The sequence below is a fragment of the Homo sapiens genome, chromosome 15 (assembly GCF_000001405.40).
Source record: "Homo sapiens chromosome 15, GRCh38.p14 Primary Assembly".
In the NCBI taxonomy this organism is placed as follows: Eukaryota; Metazoa; Chordata; class Mammalia; order Primates; family Hominidae; genus Homo; species Homo sapiens.
Window position 1 is genome coordinate 30,603,926 of NC_000015.10, and position 17,784 is coordinate 30,621,709.

General features: G+C 48.0%; 1 protein-coding gene, 1 long non-coding RNA gene and 1 pseudogene across 8 annotated transcripts in view, besides 1 other annotated feature; 2 read left to right on the forward strand and 1 right to left on the reverse strand.

The window, feature by feature from the left end:
* Positions 1-17,784, reverse strand: part of ARHGAP11B-DT (ARHGAP11B divergent transcript) — a 34,584-nt gene that overhangs the window by 12,731 nt on the left and 4,069 nt on the right. Inside the window, exons 2-5 of one of the 7 annotated variants that reach the window (NR_157597.1) lie at positions 10,483-10,615; positions 9,766-9,862; positions 7,258-7,344; positions 5,756-6,127 (exon numbers count right to left, since the gene is read on the reverse strand). The exons of 2 other annotated variants lie outside the window; for them this stretch is intronic. This is a non-coding gene — a long non-coding RNA (ARHGAP11B divergent transcript). Of the gene's footprint in view, positions 1-3,769; positions 4,400-5,755; positions 6,128-7,257; positions 7,345-9,765; positions 9,863-10,482; positions 10,616-17,784 lie in introns of those variants that run through there. 4 more of the 7 variants (NR_157594.1, NR_157596.1, NR_157598.1 and 1 more) reach the window with 4 other exon arrangements.
* GOLGA8H (golgin A8 family member H) lies at positions 103-13,827 on the forward strand. Its single transcript, NM_001282490.2, has 19 exons — positions 103-248; positions 1,918-2,037; positions 2,930-2,989; positions 3,171-3,251; positions 4,105-4,143; positions 4,406-4,453; positions 4,542-4,626; positions 4,722-4,831; positions 5,881-5,967; positions 6,074-6,181; positions 6,377-6,464; positions 6,841-7,097; positions 7,353-7,421; positions 8,672-8,747; positions 9,179-9,270; positions 9,845-9,945; positions 10,028-10,125; positions 10,221-10,376; positions 10,461-13,827. The coding sequence occupies exons 1-19, from the start codon at positions 201-203 to the stop codon at positions 10,634-10,636; spliced, it is 1,899 nt and encodes a 632-aa protein (NP_001269419.1). The 5' UTR covers positions 103-200; the 3' UTR covers positions 10,637-13,827.
* On the forward strand, positions 8,799-9,035 carry RN7SL628P (RNA, 7SL, cytoplasmic 628, pseudogene; annotated as a pseudogene).
* Positions 11,014-17,784: part of a non allelic homologous recombination region, noted in NCBI's record as "15q13 proximal microdeletion recombination region, recombines with the 15q13 distal microdeletion recombination region", that runs on past the window's edge. NCBI's record gives the evidence for it as "EXISTENCE:DNA microarray evidence [ECO:0005524][PMID:25326701]" and "EXISTENCE:nucleotide sequencing assay evidence [ECO:0000219][PMID:25326701]".

Below are 17,784 nucleotides of genomic sequence, written 5' to 3' on the forward strand. Positions count from 1 at the left end.
CCTTTCCTTTTCATCTTTCTCATTGACCAATGGGCTTGGAGCATTAAGGCCACGCCCCTATTCCGCATTCTACTGGGGCCCTGGTTACGCCTCCTCTGGCTCACTCACACAGCTGCCTGGTAGGTGACTGGAGGCCTTGATTGGTTCTCATTGAGATTTTGCTGCTGTGACCCCAACCCTGCCTCCCTCCCCACCCTGCGATGGCAGAAGAAACTCAACACAACAAATTGGCTGCAGCCAAGAAAAAGGTAAAAACGCACTAGGTCATAGACCCTCAACCCAGCCACAGATCCCCTCTGATGACAAGACCCCTGCCAGAGTCTATACGACTCCTGAGGCACACTGGACTGGTCCCCCCTACCCCGGTGCCTCTGGGCTACCCCCATCAAAGTTTTGTCAGTCAGCCCCACCCCTTCAGCAAGCAGCCCAGTCCTTGCCCTCGCCAATCACCCCAGGGTGACTTTGGGTGGGTGAGTCCTGGGGCTTCCCGCTCCATTACTGGGCCCTCATCTCCTGCCGCCCCAAGCTTGATCTCCCTGGGCTCTTTGGGCTCTCATCTCCAAGGAGCCAGGCCCCACCCTCGCCAGTCATCCCTGGGTGACTTTGGACTGGTGACTCCTGGGACTCCCTGCTGCAGACTGTGCCCTCCCCTCCTGCTGCCTCAAGGTCGACCTCCCTGGGTTCTTTGTGCTGGCGTCTCCAAGGAGCTGGGTCCCAACCCTGTGCTTCCCTCCCCCATCGTGGAGCAGCGACTTGGACATGGTGCTGACATGGTCCCTCCCCCCGACCAGGAGGAGTGGAATGTTGTGATGTCACAGTCCACCTAGTAACTGCTGTTACTGCAAGACTGGCCTTTGATCTTACGACCCAGTCCCCTAAGCGTTCTCACCCCGTTTCTGGTTCCTCTGGTCACAGCACAAATTTCCAGCTGGAAGGGGAATGGAGACTATGGGACCTAGGAGCAAGAGGTTCCAGGCTGCCTCACTCCCTTACAGATGTTGACGGTGGGAAAAGCCTACACTTCCCCCATGAACTCAAAACGTTGACAGTATCTCTGGGTGGCAATGAGAGAATGGGTTTGATTTGGTTTTCTCCCAGGCTTCTACTTTCCAGAGAGATTTTAACATTTTTTTCTGAGTTCTCCACCTCATATTCTAATTCTCCATGGTTCTGGGACCAGACTCTCCTTCAGTCAGTGGTCTCTGAAGTGACATTTGCTCATCTTCTGTGGAATAGATCTTGGGAAACTGAACTTGACACCTTGAATCTTCCTCATATTATCTCAACCTTGGGTACTTTGAGTGCCACAGGATAAATGTGGGACATCTTTCTGAAGCATCAGTTTCCCTTGATTCTCTTGAGATCAAGAGAAAAAACATGAATGTACTTAGGGATGACAGTCACATAGGTTTCTAAGAGTATACCAGCCCTCTCTCTGAAATGAGGCTTGGGTTGTCCTCTTTCTGATAAATTCTGATTTAAGAGAAAGGCTGCCTTCTGCCATGAGGACACATTGATATAAGAGTTTGAGAGGTACTGGTGCACTTCTTCACACTAACAGACGTGTGAGGATGTATGACTCTAAACCACATGGCATACAGTTCCTGCCTACTTAATGTTTACTTTTCTACCTCTGCCTCTGGTTTTGGTCCCTGGCAGCTGCTGATTCTTGGCAAAACCTCAGAGCTTGGAGTCAGAAGACTGAGTTTCAAAGTTCCAGTATTGCCTTTTTCTTTTTTTTTTCTAGCCATGATATCAATCCTTCTCAGTCACTAAATGAGTGTGACAACACCTTGTACGGTTGTTGGTGTCATTAAATCAGATGGTGTGTAAGTGTATTTTGTAAAAACTGTAAAGGAGGATGTGGCTGCAGGGGCTGACGGTTCTCATGAGTATTACTGCTCTTCTTTCCAACAGTTAAAAGAATATTGGCAGAAAAACAGCCCTAGAGTTCCAGCAGGAGCGAACAGGAACAGGAAAACAAATGGCAGTGTCCCTGAGAAAGCCACTTCTGGTGGTTGCCAGCCACCTGGGGATGTGAGTCTTGGCTGACCAGGCTTCTGGGGACAGGGGGCCCAAGGGGCAATAGAGGGTAATTCTTAAGATTGTGGATGGACTGCTGGGTACTGGTTAAGAATTCTGGCTTTAGCCGGGTGTGGTGGCCCACGCCTGTAATCCTAGCACTTTGGGAGGCCAAGGCAGGCGGATCATGAGGTCAGGCGATCGAGACCATCCTGGTTAACACGGTGAAACCCTGTCTCTACTAAAAATACAAAAACATTAGCCAAGCGTGGTGGCGTGTGCCTGTAGTCCCAGCTACTCAGAAGGCTGAGGCAAGAGAATGGTGTGAACCTGGGAGGTGGAGCTTGCCGTAGCCAAGATTATGCCACTGCACTCCAGCCTGGTGACAGAGCAAGACTCTGTCTCAAAGAAAAAAAAAAAAGGAATTCTGGATTTGAATCCTGCCTCTCCATCTGCTCTGCTAGGGATATGATTTAGGGCAAGTTGCTAGACCTCATCGGGCCTCTCTTTTCACATCTGTATAATAGAGGTGATATTGTTTCACTTCCATTTGTGAAATTTTCATGAGATTTGTTATTGTTGTTTTTATGTTAATCCCTAGTACATGGCCTGCTGTAAACACTCAGGACACCCAGGATATGGTTTGATTTTCCTCATCCCCAGTCTCAAGGGGAAACCAGGACAAAGAGAACAGCCACTTGCCATCAGGAGTCACTGAAGGGGCCCCAGGATGGGATGGTGGGGAGATAAGAACCATGAGAGAAGTTGGCACAAAGGAGTTATGGGACAAAAGGTCCAAGATAGGCAGAAAAGAAAATGTTGCCAGTTGATGGGGAAGAAAGGAAGTCAGAGGGCTCAGACACTGTGGGGGACAGAACATCTCCATGTGCACTCTCATCTCTTGTAGTCAGCAACAGGTTTCCACAGGGAAGGCCCTACATCATCTGCTACCCTGAAAGATCTGGAGGTAAGAGGCTCTGGGCAGAGGTGCAGTGACCCTTCGGGTCAACCCTCCAACCTCCTCCTCCAGGTGGGACTGGGTGCCCCTCTGCCAGCTGAGACAGCCCACACACCCCAGCCCTAATGATTGTTCTCTCTACCTCTCCCCCCACTCCTGCTCCACCTCCTCCTCTCTGCATGCACCTCAGAGCCCGTGCCAAGAACGAGCAGTAGTCCTGGATTCAAGGTCCGTAGAAATCAGTCAACTGAAGAACACCATCAAATCTCTGGTAAGAGTCCACTGGGGTCCCCTGATTCCACGCTGCCAATCCTGGGCTCCAGTTTCCCCTTGGGGCCCTGAAGAAAGGGGCTGGGGGTCCCTGGTGCCTGGGACAAATAGGGAGCTTGGGTGCCCAGGCCTCACCTGGAGGGACCCCAGAGCATGCAGCATGGCTCTTCTTTTGCTGCCCTCTTTGCCGACTCTCTCCTCTCCAGACACCCCTGCTCGAGTCCTTGCTACACACGCCCTGGGGTTGTTGCCTCTTGGGGAAGTGCTAGCCTGACTGGTTGTCAAGGGCCCCGTATTTCTGCCATGACTCAGTCCCTAATTTGCTCTTTGATTCTGGACAAGCCACCTCTCCTTTTTGGGCTCGTGTTTCCAGAGGAGGTAGTGAGTATCAAAGGTCTCTGTTAGCTCTCGAGTCTGAGATTTAAAGGCCCCCTAGAACGGAAACCTCAGGGCTAAGGGCTCCTGTCTGTCCTTTTCCATCCTATATCTGCTGTAAAGAACCGTACCTGGTCCATACATGCTCAGTAAATGTTTATTGAATGAACCCACTTCTCTAAATCACAAGTTGCCAGAAGGAGGGGCCTTTCTGAAACTCCATCTCTAGAGGTTTATATTGCTGTCCTCTCAAGAGATTCCAGATTCAGACTTTGAGTTCTGTGGCTGTGGGCAAAAGCCAACAAAGACCCAAATCCTCTGTCCTTGGGAGCTTGAGGAGAGTTTACCGGTTCGTGTTCCCATTATGTCTGAGAACTTTGCCTTTAAAATCCATTCCTGGCCCCTGCCTACCACTTCCTGGTCTGGGGAATAGAGTTGAGGGGGCCACCCTCCATCACCTTATTTGACTCTCCCCACAGAAACAACAGAAGAAACAAGTGGAACATCAGCTGGAAGAAGTAACGTGATTTCGTTTCCTCGCAACATGACTGCTGGGTTTGGGGGGCACTCAGACATACAGGCCCCAGTCTCGTCTCACCCACTCCCAGCCTGGGGATGAAGGCTCACCCTTCAGATTCCACCCCATCCCCACAGGGCCCCTGATAACCTGGTCCCATGGGTGGGCCTGTCCTGGGGCATTGGTGGCATTCTGGGGGCATGTCTCTTGCTGTGCCATCTCTGCCTCCCCCTGGTAAGAGCTCTGTCTTCTTCTTCCTACAGGAAAAGAAAGCAAACAACAAGAAACAGAAAGCCAAAAGGGTGCTAGAGGTGAGTGGAGGGTGTGCAGTTTCCTCCTGTCCTCCGGAGAAGGTTTCTTTCCTTCTCTTTCAGCACTTGCTTGGCTTTTCTCCCAAAGGTTCAAATCCAGACATTGAACATACAGAAAGGGAAACTAAATACGGACCTGTACCACATGAAACGTTCTCTCAGATACTTTGAAGGTGGGAATCTGGGCACCCTGTCATCCTTCAACCTGGCACTTTGACAGGTCTTCAGGGGGAGTCCTTTGGGCCCCATCTCAACTTTCTCATTACAGAAAAGTCCAAGGATCTGGCTGTCTGCCTGCAACATTCATTGCAGCGTAAAGGAGAGTTAGAGAGTGTTCTCTCTAATGTCATGGCCACACAGAAGAAGAAGGCAAACCAGGTGAGTCCAACCACCTGCCCCATCCCCTGGGAGCCTGGCTTTGCAGATGGAGGAGTGAGCCTAAAGGTCCCTTCTGCAGGATGGCGTGTCCTGCCCAGAAGGCAGCATGGCCATTTCTTGCTACTTTTTTGTATGGTTTTTAGTGGCAGCCTGGGGCTGAGTCAGCTGCTGTGGGTGAGTTGGGGGTCACTGTGTGGAGTGAGCACTGGACGCAGAGCTTGGAGGCCAAATGCCTGCCCCGCCCTTACCTGGCTGTGGTCTTGAGCAAGTCCTAGGTGGGGTATTGGGTACTTCTACTGTGAAGGTACAGAAGAGTACCTTTAGTATGTTACCATTTCTGTAGAAAGAGGAAACGTGTGTGCGTGTGTGTGTGTGTGTGTGTGTGTGTGCATACTGTGATAATATACATAAAACATGTCTGCAAGGGTTCATAAAAAATTCAGGAGAGAGCAACAAGATGGCCGGGAGATACTTCCCTTCTGTACCTTCTGAGTTTTGGACTATGCAAATGTATCATCCTTTCAAAAAGTGAACAAAAGATTAATTTTCCCCTTCCTATCTGTGCCCCCATCCCCAGCAAGAAAAACGGGCTTAGAGAATTGGATAGACCTGGGTGTTTATATCCCAGCTCTGCCTAAGTGAACTTAGGCAAGCACTTAACCTCAAATACTCCATGTTTTTTCATCTCCACAATAGAGGGAATCATAGTAACTGTCTCCTATGGTGGTTGCGAGGATTAAATGGGATTGTTAGCACGGTACCTGGTGAAGTATTCCACAAAGGTTCAAACAGTGGTAATAATAACAGTAATAACAATAGCAATATTATCTGATCTCTCTGGGCCTCTGTTAGCCAGCTATAAATTCAATCTCATTCCCTGTCCGTTCCAACTTTACTGTGTTCTTTTAAAAACCAGACCACGGGCTTGGAAATGCCTTGATCTTTACTGACTGAGTTGTATATTGGGCCTAGCCCTAGTCCTTTTAAGGGGCACTGTGTGGAAATGCCCAGGCTCTCCAGATTGAAACTTCTCACTCTTCACCATCCAGTTGTCCAGCCGCAGCAAAGCACGTACGGAGTGGAAGTTAGAGCAGTCCATGCGGGAGGAGGCACTACTGAAAGTGCAGCTGACACAGGTGAGGTTTTCTGAGGGAGTTATGTGGAAGGAAGATGACCCCAGGTGGCCAGGAGCAGGTGAGGACCAGTGACAGCCCTTCCTAAGTTCTGTGCCCATTCTTGCAGTTGAAGGAGTCATTTCAACAAGTCCAATTAGAAAGAGATGAGTGTGCTGAACATCTAAAAGGAGAGAGGGCCCGGTGGCAGCAGAGGATGAGAAAAATGTCGCAGGAGGTGAGATCTCACCCTTCAGCCCCCCCACATTAGATAGGTCACTGGATCTTTCTGGGCATCTGTAAAATGGGAATAGTAGAGCCAGAGGTGGTCATGGGTCTGGGCTTTGTGGAGGTGGGGGCAGAGAGGGAGAGGGCAGCCTGTCCAGCCTCCAGCCCCTCTCTCCAAGGCCCTTTCCCCTTGTGCTTTGGGCAGATTTGCACATTAAAGAAAGAGAAGCAGCAAGATATGCGTCGGGTAGAGAAGCTGGAGAGGAGCTTGTCCAAACTCAAAAACCAGATGGGTAAGATGGGGCTGGCATGACCTGGGAGCAGGACTGGCATCAGAGGGCTGTGAGGGTGGCTTAGAGTGCCCCAGGGAGGTGGGTGGATGGAAGGGCTTTGAGGCAGAGGGAAAGAGATCTGTGCCAGGAGACGGCGAGTCTTGTCATCTCAATGAGTCTCAGTGTCTCAGTGTCCCCATCAGGAAAGAGGGCCCGTTGCCAGCCACCCGCAGTGCTCTTTCTCTGAATGTGCTTTGGAAGACTGGCTACCATCTGGGTGCGAGGAATCATTAGCAGTGAGGCCAAGTTTGAGGAGCCTGAGAGGAGCTGTGCGCCAAGAGGAGGGTTTTTCTTTTCCGAGAATCCAGAGGCCCTTATTATCTGCTTCCTTTGTCAGCTGAACCCTTGCCCCCGGAGCCCCCAGCAGTGCCCTCTGAGGTGGAGCTGCAGCACCTGAGGAAGGAACTAGAGAGAGTGGCAGGAGAGCTCCAGGCCCAGGTCAAAAAGAATCAGCGCATAAGTCTCCTGAACCAGCGACAAGAAGAGAGGATTCAGGAGCAGGAAGAGAGGCTTCGGAAGCAGGAGGAGAGGATTCAGGAGCAGCACAAGAGCCTTCAGCAGCTGGCCAAGCCACAGAGCGTCTTCGAGGAGCCGGTGCGTTGCCCAAACTGGGGAGCTTGCCCTCCTCCCTAGCCCTCCGGGCCTTTGTTTCCCCACCTCTAAAATGGGGCAGTGTAGCCCTCACATGAAATGTTACTTCTAAAGGCACCTGTGAGCCAGGTGGCTGTGGGAGAGAGGGGGTGATTTTTCTAACCTGCCTCCAGCCTTCCCAGTGCCATGGGAGGCAGACACCAAGTTCTGGGGTCTCCAGCTGCAGTGGGTGGCTGCTGATTGCTTCTCTCTGTCCAGAACAATGAGAACAAGAACGCACTGCAGTTGGAGCAGCAAGTAAAGGAGCTACAGGAGAAGCTTGGCGAGGTGAAGGAGACGGAAACCTCCACCCCATCCAAGAAGGGCTGGGAGGCGGGCAGCAGCCTCTTGGGAGGGGAGGTGCCAGGCCAGAGGCAGCTTCCAGCCTGGGGGCTGGTGACCACAGCACCCCGCAGGGCAGTCCTGTGACTGTTTCTTGCTTCCTGCCTCTGACTTTTAAAGGTGGGTAGCCCTGGGCTCCTCTCAGGTCTGGACATCATCATCCCAGCTAGAGGCATGGAGCCCCCAATCACAGGGGAAGAGACAGTGCTATAACAGGCTCCTTATACCAGGTGCAGTGGCTCATGCCTATAATCCCAGCACTTTGGGAGGCTGAGGCAGGAGAATCACTTGAGGTCGGGAGTTTGAGATCAGCCTGGCCAATGTGGTAAAACCTCATCTCTACTAAAATTACAAAAAAAAAAAAAAAAATTAGCAGGACATTGTGGCGCATGCCTGTAATTCCACCTACTCGGGAGGCTGAGGCACGAGAATTGCTTCAACCCAGGAGGTGGAGGTTGCAGTGAGCTGAGATTGCACCACTGCACTCCAGCCTGGGCCACAGAGTGACACTCTTGTCTGAAAACAAAACAAAAAGACTCCTTAGATTGAAACTGGATTCCAGCCTCAGTTCCACTGGTCACCATTCAAGTACTTTGCATCTCTAAGTCTCTGTTTCTTTAACTTCAAAGGGAAGTTAGCATTTTCCTTACAGAGGTGCTGAGGATTAAATGAGAAGAGGGTATGAGATTTGAGGCTGGGGAAGGAGGCATGGGGTTCTAGGAAAGGGAGGCAGTCACTTAGGCCTGGAGTAAGGGGACAGGGGCCTGGGCAGCTGACAGAGCCCCACAGTGCCCTCGCTACCCTATTAATGGGCCCAGAATCTGGAAACCAGCCACCACATGCCCTCACACCCAGGGTCTTCCTGCAGGTGGAGCTGAAGAGCCAAGAGGCTCAGAGTCTGCAGCAGCAGCCAGACCATTACCTGGGTCACCTGCAGCAGTACGTGGCCACCTATCAGCAGCAGGTGGCCGCCTATCAGCAGCTGACCTGTGAGAAGGAGGCGCTGTACAGGCAGTGACTGCAGCAGACCCAGCTAATGAACCAGCTGCAGCAGCAGGAAGCTTGGGGCAAAGCGGTGGCTGAGATGGCCTGCCAAAAGTTGCAGGAGACCCAGGGGAGGGAGCTGCTGAGGATGGGGCTGTGAGGGGGACGACCTGGCAAACTCCACCCCTTCTCACTCTGTCCTGGCCCCTTAGGAGCACCTGGAAGCTGCCAGCCAGCAGAACCAGCAGCTAACGGCCCAGCTGAGCCTCATGGCTCTCCCTGGGGAAGGTACGGGAGACCGCTCAGAGGAAGAGGAGAGAGCCCCAGGAGGAAGGGGGGACTGCTAGCAGCATAGGATTGAGGAGTTGGAAGAGACCTTTAGAACAGCTGGTCATTATGCCGACCGGGTGCCTGCACTAAGTTCGGCATCAGTGTGGTGACCTCCTGTGAGCGGGGGGTCACCAAGTTGCCTAAGGGTGGCTGAACTGGCCAAGGTCAGAAAGGGAGCAGGTCAGAACTCCCACATCGACCAGTAGTGGGAGTGTGCCTGGGCGGAATAGCAAGATCTTGATTCTTAAAAGTAAAAATAAAGAACAACAGCTCATTCCTCTCTGGGGAGGGGCAGGCTCAGGGTTACACAGTGAGGGTGGAGGTAGAGGTGGGCCCACAGTTCCTCCCTTGTTGGGTTGTCTGAAGACCCCTCTGGCCACCCCCCACAGGACACGGAGGAGAACATCTGGACAGTGAGGGGGAGGAGGCACCTCGGCCCATGCCGAGTGTCCCAGAGGACCCGGAGAGCAGGGAGGCCATGGTGAGCCTGACTCCCCCTGCACCCATTTTGCCACCTTTCTCTGTGGTCCCTCCAAGACCCCTTTATGCTCTTCGTTTCCCTGCCTTCTGATTTCTCTGGACCCTCACCCCTTCCGAGAGCCAGTGGTCAGACTCCATTTCACCTGTGGCCAACAGGTGCACTCTCTGAGGCTCCAAGGGAAGGGGCTGCGCTCCACCTCTCTGCCCCATTTCTTCTGTGTATGCCCCTAGAAGAATGCTCACATCTTGCCCTCAGGTGGCATTTTTCAAGTCCGCTGGAGCTAGTGCCCAGGAGAAGCAGGCACAGTTACAAGAGCAGGTGAAAGAGCAGAGGGTGTGCTGCCAGCGCCTGGCTCACCCGGTGGCCTCGGCCCAGAAGGAGCCAGAGGCAGCCAGAGGCCCTGGAGCCCCAGGGCCTGGGGGCGAGTCTGTGAGTGGGGAGACCCACTGGGCCCTGCAGGAAGTCACGGAGAAGCTGGCCCATGCCAGGACTCACCTCCACCTTCTCCATGACTTGAAAATGCCACCTGAGGGCAGGTCGCTGCCGAGATGTGACTGCAATATTTTGGCTCCAGAGCAGCTTTATGGACCACCTGGAGGAGAAGGCAGACCTGAGTGAGCTGGTGAAGAAAAAAGAACTCTGCTTCATCCACCACTGGCGAGACAGATGCCATCAGTGAGTGGGAGGCCAGGGCACGGCAGGGGGAGCTACAGGGCCGTCGGAGGGGCCCCAGCGTCTGAGCCCTGTCCTCCCGCAGGAAAACCCATCACCTTTTATCAGAACCAGGGGGCCGTGCCAAAGATGCGGCACTGGGAGGAGGACACCATCAGGCTGGAGCTCAGGGAGGAGATGAAGGTAGGGTGTGCAACATCTCTGTGGGGGTGGGGGTGGGGGTGGGTGTGAGGGTGGGCGCAGGCAGCGGCATGGCAGCTGAGCACCCCTCCCTCCAGGTGAAGCTGCTGGAGCTGCAGCAGATGGTATTGCGGCTTACAGCAACTACAACAATGGGCACAGAAAATTCCTGGCCGCTGCCCACAACTCTGCTGATGAGCCCGGTCCAGGAGCCCCAGCCCCCCAGGAGCTTGGGGCTGCAGACAAGCATGGTGGTGAGTAGAGCCCTCAGGTGGGGTGGGCAGGCAGGAAGAGGGGGCTCCCACTGTGCTCAGATCCCTGCCTCCCTCTCTCCAAAGATCTTTGTGAGGTGAGCCTCACCTCCTCTGCCCAAGGAGAGGCCAGGGAGGATCCTCTCCTTGACAAGCCTACTGCACAGCCGATCGTGCAGGACCACCAGGAGCACCCAGGCTTGGGCAGCAACTGCTGTGTGCCATTGTTGTGCTGGGCTTGGCTGCCAAGAAGAAGGAGATAAACATCACCATCCTCAAAGAGCTGCTCAAGAAATTTTTAAATAAGAAACCAAGTTATGGGGTTAATCTCCTACACAATTCATTTACTTCCTTTGAATGTTAGAGTCACTCATGATTATTTGTTTTTCTAATTTATAGTTTTAAGTTTATTTGTAAAAAGTTAAAAGAGAGTGGGTGTCTGTGGCTCTCACTGATGTTCACTCTGGCATCCTTTAGCATTTTTCTTTTTTAATTTCATAATTGTAGGTCATTAGCGTGCATATCGAGTTTGCCCTTACGTGGTGGGAGTTCAAACACACAAAGACCCACTCTTTGCCCAAAACTGTTCTCTTTGGTTTGGAATAGGCTGCCATGCTTTTTTAATGTTATTGCAGCATGTACATTCACTACAGAATTCAGACAAAATTTGCCTATGTTCTGCTGTTGTTTGATCTAATCTTAATCACAGTGAGCTCTTCATTAGCTCAATATGTAGTTTGCCCCCAAGTGTGCACTGTTTATTACTTTGTAATATGCCACTATGAGTACTGACATTTAGAGTTGTTTAAAGGCCAAGAACTGGAAACAGCCTTTCCTCCATTTTCTGTGTATTGGTGATGGGAGTGATAACCTTTTGGGGGAGCTTTTTAAATCTCACAGAAGAGGAAAGTGGCCTCCTCTGGCAGGTACGTGCAGGATAGAGTGTGTTTCATCTGTTCCGGTGCCAGGAATTAGCAGTGTATTATGGTGGTTCCCTTAGGATTTGTATGTGCTCTGGGCTCATGAAGATACTGCATCATGAGCTGCAGCAGTTGCACTCTTTTTCGATGACCTAAAAAGGGCTTATTTCTGAGGAATGAAAGGTTCCCATCATTGACTGTGGATGTGGAAATCCTTTCCTAGCTTAGAGCATTTGTATCTACAATACATTTTAAAGTCAGAGTTCATGTTACCTGTTTTAATCACATGACTACATGTCCCAGTACACAAAAGGGCACTGGTTGGCATTCTTCTTAATGTATTTAGTGAAGATCATAAGAAATCCTTTATGAGTTCAAACGTCCCTGGAACAGGCATACAGGCTCTAGTCAAGAATGAATTAGAGTGAAGGAAAGCTGTGTGACACCTGGCATTCCTCTCTGTTCACGGAGATTCTTTGAGGCTTGAAGATTGATTTTACCATCTAGACCTCTTTGGCTAATACCTATTCTTCAACCACCTTGGTTACTCTGACATAGGAATTTACTTCTTTTTCCTTGAATGGACAACACTTTAAAAAATAATAGAAACATTATTATAAACTAATATATGTGAGATACTTAGTTGAAACAAAAAGGAGTTTTAGTAGACGGTATTGTACTCTCTTTGAAAATCAAGGAGAAGTTTATGAAACTTAAAATGTGTACAAACTGCAGTGCAATCTACTGTTCGTGAATGTCAATGTATTATCAGGAAACGTGTCTATACAATCACAGAGCTATATTTTCTCACAGACTTCTTTACAAAGTGAAATATGTTTTTGTACCTCTGGGTTTCTGTTCGGGACATATTTTGTGCGATATTTATGTGATTGTGCCTATGCATGATGAATGAATGCATTTCAGTTGTATATTGCCTAAATCGTAACTTGATGATGCTTGGGAAAGACTCAACAGTTCAAACTTCATGAAGTTCTAATGTCTGTGTTCCAAAACACATCACATTGTTAGGATGCAGGGAGATAGGTGTGTGTGCTCCCTGCGGTGGGGATTTCTAGTTACTAGATCATCTCCATTTTTAGCATTTGGCATCCTCATGATACTTCTATAAATATGACATTAACAGGAGAGCAACAATACGATTTTACCGATGGAATAACAGATTTGCTGGCATTCACTGAAAGAGTGCAAATATTCGGTCCTTGTGACTTCCACTGACTCTTCCAAATTTTATGAATGTATCAATGTATTAGATAAACCCAGTTTCAGAATGATAAAGAAAAAATCTTAGACCAAATAATGCGGCTAATTAACAGTGGTACGAATTGTAGCCCGTGGGTTTAAAATGCACTTAAAGTCCTGTTCTCGCCTTTTATTTTCTGAACTTGCCGCTTTTGCATTCTTTGAGTTCAGTTTAAAGACAGTTACTTTAAGAGCATTTTAAACCCTCGGGCTAGAAATCGGACCACTGTTAATCAGCCACATTATTTGGTCTAACGTTTTTTCTTTTATCATTCTGAAACTGGGTTTATCTAATACATTGATAAATTATTGCAAAGGTACTTTTATCGTTGAAATCACTTCACTTTTACCCTGATAAATATCAGTGACTAGAATGACCTTCGGATAGTGTTTAGCATCTGTAACCAATCTGACAATAATGTGTTCATGAGGTGCCTATGGATTAAATCACACACTGGCATATTTAAGCTGAAGGTCAGTCTGGAAAATAAATTTACTATATTGACTGAAATACCACTCTTTGTGTAGGTATTTGTCATATATTTAAGAAAAAGCTAAAAAGAATGGAAATTGTATGACAATAACTCAAGTCTTTCTCCAAAGTGCATGCAGTCTTTTGCGATACCTCATTCAGCCGAGTATTTGTGCTCTTCCTCATTCAGTATAAGGCAGCTTTCAGTTTGCTTAGAAGGCAACATTGGAATGTTAGAGTTCATCAGAAACATAGAATTTTAAACTGTGAGTTCCACTGAATACATTTTAATTTCTGTAGGAAGAATCAAAACACCTATTTAAAGATGGCAATATATAATAATCATTTTAAAAGTATTTGATTAAACCTGATAATTTTCCAGAAATGAAAAAAAAAATCAGCTCTAAAACCAAAGCTGATTTTAGAAAATTTGAAAATGTAAATCAGCCCTATCCATAATATAGTTTCTCTAAAACTTTATTTTAAAGAGTCATTTTAAAATAATATAACTATTAAAAAATGTAACTGCTATCTTAATGTTCTGAAATAATTTAAAACATTTTAAAATATGAATACTGTAGTATAAAAGAAAGAAATGGTGGGAACGAAAAGCAGAGAAAGAAATGCCAATTCCAGTCCAAAGTTTTATTTGCCAAGTTTTCTTAGAATGAATTTTACCAGTTTATGAATTATTGTAAACAGAATGTGTCATGGAAATACTGAAAGATTTTTCCCTAGAGTGGCCTTATTGACTGCTGGTGTGATGCCACTGTAATGTAATAAATTATTAAATTGTTTCTAAGTGTTGTTTTTGCCTTAAAATTTTATTTTGCGTTTCTTCAAAACTATAGTTTTAAAGGTATTGATACTGTGCAAATGCTGGGCATGCTTGGCACGAGATAATGTGTTTCATTTTTACAAAGTTGTAATATAACTATGCAAGTGTTTCTTAAAAGAACACAAGATTTAATAAGTTATGGGATTAAAAAAAGTTATGGGGTGAAAACGTTATGGGATAAAAAATGTAAAAACGTTGTGGCAAAAAAACTTCTGGGAAAAAAGTAGAAAACAGTATTATGAAAAGTTACAAAAAAAGTTATGAAAAAGAAGTTACGGGATTTTTTTTTAAAAAGTCATGGAATAAAAATAAAATGAGAATCATAAGAGAATCATTGAGAATCATAAAAATGCAGATTCTGATTCAGTAGGTCTAGGGTGGGGCCTGAGTTACTTCTTTTTTTTGTTTTAGACAGAGTCTTGCTCTGTGGCCCAGGCTGGAGTGCAGTGGCGTGATCTCCGCTCACGCAAGCTCCGCCTCCCGGGTTCACGCCATTCTCCTGCCTCAGCCTCCCAGGAGTAGCTGGGACTATAGGCGCATGCCGCCACGCCCGGCTAATTTTTTTGTATTTTTTAGTAGAGACGGGGTTTCACTGTGTTAGCCAGGATGGTCTCGATCTCCTGACCTCGTGATCCACCCTCCTCGGCTTCCCAAAGTGCGGGGATTACAGGCGTGAGCCACTGCGCCCGGCCCTGAGTTACTTCCTTTCATGCACCACATAGCAATGTTTCGGTCAACAGTGGACTACATATATATCTATCACTGTCTTCCACCTCCACATTCTGTCCTACTGGAAGGTCTTCAGGTGCAATAACACACAAGGAGCTATCATCTCCTATGATAACAAGGCTTTTTTCTGGAATAGCTCCCCACAGACCACCACAAATATGTGATGTGAGTAATGCACTGTGCTACAGTGATGCTATACGTCAACAACATCACTAGGCAATAGGAACATTCCAACTCCATTATAATCTTTTTTTTTTTTTTTTTTTTTTTTTTATTGAAACAGACTCTTGCTCTGTCGCCCAGGTTGGAGTGCAGTGGCACGATCTGGGCTCACTGCAAGCTCCGCCTCCCGGGTTCACGCCATTCTCCTGCCTCACAGCTTCCCGAGTAGTTGGGACTACACGCGCCCACCACCACACCTGGCTAATTTTTTTCTATTTTTTAGTAGAGACGGGGTTTCACCGTGTTAGCCAGGATGGTCTCAATCTCCTGACTTCGTGAGCTGCCTGCCTTGGCCTCCCAAAGTGCTGGCATTACAGGCATGAGCCACTGCGCCAGGCCCCAACTCCATTATAATCTTATGGGACCAGTGGATATAGATGATCCTGACCCTGCCTAGGCCTAGGCTAATGTGTGAGTTTGTATCTTCATTTTGGTTTTGTTTGGTTTTGAGACAGGGTCTCGCTCTATCGCCCAGGCTGGAGTGCAGTGGTGCGATCTCAGCTCATTGCAACCTCTGCTCCCCAGGTTCAAGCAATCCTTCCACCTCAGCCTCCCAAGTAGCTGAGACTATAGGTGTGTGCCACTATGCCTGGCTATTTTTCATATTTTTTTGTAAAGGCGGGGTTTCGTCATGTTGTCCAGGCTGGTCTCAAACACCTGGACTCCAGCAATCCACCTGCCTCGGCCTCCCAATGTGCTGGGATTATAGGTGTGAGCCACCACGCCCAGCCATGTCTTGGTTTTTAACAAAAAAGTTTAAAATTAAAAAAAAATAGAAAAAAATCTTACCGAATATGGATAGAAAGAAAATATTTTTGTACAGCTGTACAATGTGTTTGTGTTTTGAGCTATTACTACAAAAGAGTCAAAAGTTAAGAAAATTTAAAAGCTGATGAAATTAAAAAGTTATAGTAAGCTAACCTTAATTTATTACTGAAGGAAAAAATTTTAATAAACTTAATGTAGCCTAAGTATATGCTGTTTATAAAGTCTATAACAATGTACAGTAAGGTCCTAGGCCTTCACATTCACTCACCACTCACTGACTCACCCAGAGCAACTTCCAGTCCTGCAAGCTCCACTCGTAAGTACCCTACGCAGGTAAAATTTTAAATCTGTGGCCGGTCGCAGCGGCTCACACCTGTAATTCCAGCACTTTGGGAGGCCGAGGTGGGTGGATCACAAGGTCAAGAGATCAAGACCACCCTGGCCAACATGGCGAAACGCCATCTCTACTAAAAATACAAAAATTAGCTGGGCGTGGTGGTGCACGCCTATAGTCCTAGCTACTCGGGAGGCTGAGGTCGGAGAATCGCTTGAACCCGGGAGACAGAGGTTGCAGTGAGCTGAGATTGTGCCACTGCACTCCAGCCTGGTGACAGTGCAAGACTCCATCTCAAAAAAGAAAAAAAAAAAAAAGAAAAAAATTTAAATGTTATATCACAAATTTTAAATCTGTTAAGATACATAAAATACTTGGTATTGTGTTACAATTGCCTACAGTATTCAGTACAGTAATCTGCTGTACAGGTTTGTGGCCTAGGAGCAATAGATTATATCACATAACTAGGTGTGTGTGTAGTCAGCTACACCATCTAGGTTGATGTAAGTACACTCTATGATGTTTGCAGAATGACAAAATTGCCTAACAATGCATTTCTCAGAAGGTATCTCTGTCATTAAGAGACACATGGCTATAGTTTCCAGGCGATACCTATGCCGTATTTGAATAGCAAGGCTCTAGTTTAGAGCACTGTTTAGGGAAATCCATTGGCCCTGTATCTTAAGTTGGGTTGCCTGAAAAACAGGTACTGAGATGGAGATTTCCCCACAGGAGGCTTACTTGGGAAGGCTCTTGGAACAACACAAGTAAAGGAGTAAAAGAAACAGGATTGGGCAGCCTGTGAAACAGTTGCCACCATCTCAGCTGCTCCTTCAGGAAGCTCTAGAGCTGGGAAGTCCTTCCGTTGTCTTGAGATATGGGGGCCAGGCCTATGAAACCCCATATTAACCAGGCACGGAACGTAGACTGCCCAGGGGAAGGCATCACTTGGGGTGAGGCAGGTCCTTTTCATGGAGCAGCTCTCAGAGGGGGACTTTGTTGTGAGCCATGAGGAACCAACACTTCTGCAAGTGGGGCGAGTGAGCACCTCAGCCTGGAGGGGGATCTAGGTGAAGCACCACAGTGTCTACTATTCTGGTGATAGCCCAGTGACCTCAGGAAATCACTGTACTATTTTCCATCTTAGTCCACATTTAGGACAGAATATGATAGACATTTCTGTTTTATTAATAAATGGAACAATGTGGCCGGGCGCGGTGGCTCACGCCTGTAATCCCAACACTTTGGGAGGCTGAGGCGGGCGGATCACGAGGTCAGGAGATCAAGACCATCCTGGCTAACACGGTGAAACCCCGTCTCTACTAAAAATACAAAAATTAGCCGGGCGTGGCGGCATGCGCCTATAGTCCCAGCTACTCGGGAGGCTGAGGCAGGAGAATGGTGTGAACCCGGGAGGCAGAGCTTGCAGTGAGCCGAGATCACACCACTGCACTCCAGCCTGGGGGACAGAGCGAGACTCCGTCTCAAATAAATAAATAAATAAATGGAACAATGTGTCTGTGGAATGTGCCAGGCCCTAGAGGCAGTGATTCTAGGAACAATCATTTTGGTTTTACAGAAAAAAACTCGGACCTAATTTGAAAGTTGCACAAATCATCTTATTTCCAGCAGGGATGCAGGTAAAAGGTTCAGGAAGGCCCTTTGGCAGACACTTTATGGACTGATTTCACAGAAATGAGGGTTAGGTGAACTAACATCTAAGGAAAAGGATGTGTGCCATCTAGTGGCACTAAAAGCAAAGCCTAATGCTTAACGAAAGATTTCCCTTTTCATCGTCAGGGAACTCAGTGAGGTTTTCAGTAGTGTTTTCCTACTTTTAGAAGTAGGTGTGGGAGTTCACTAAATGA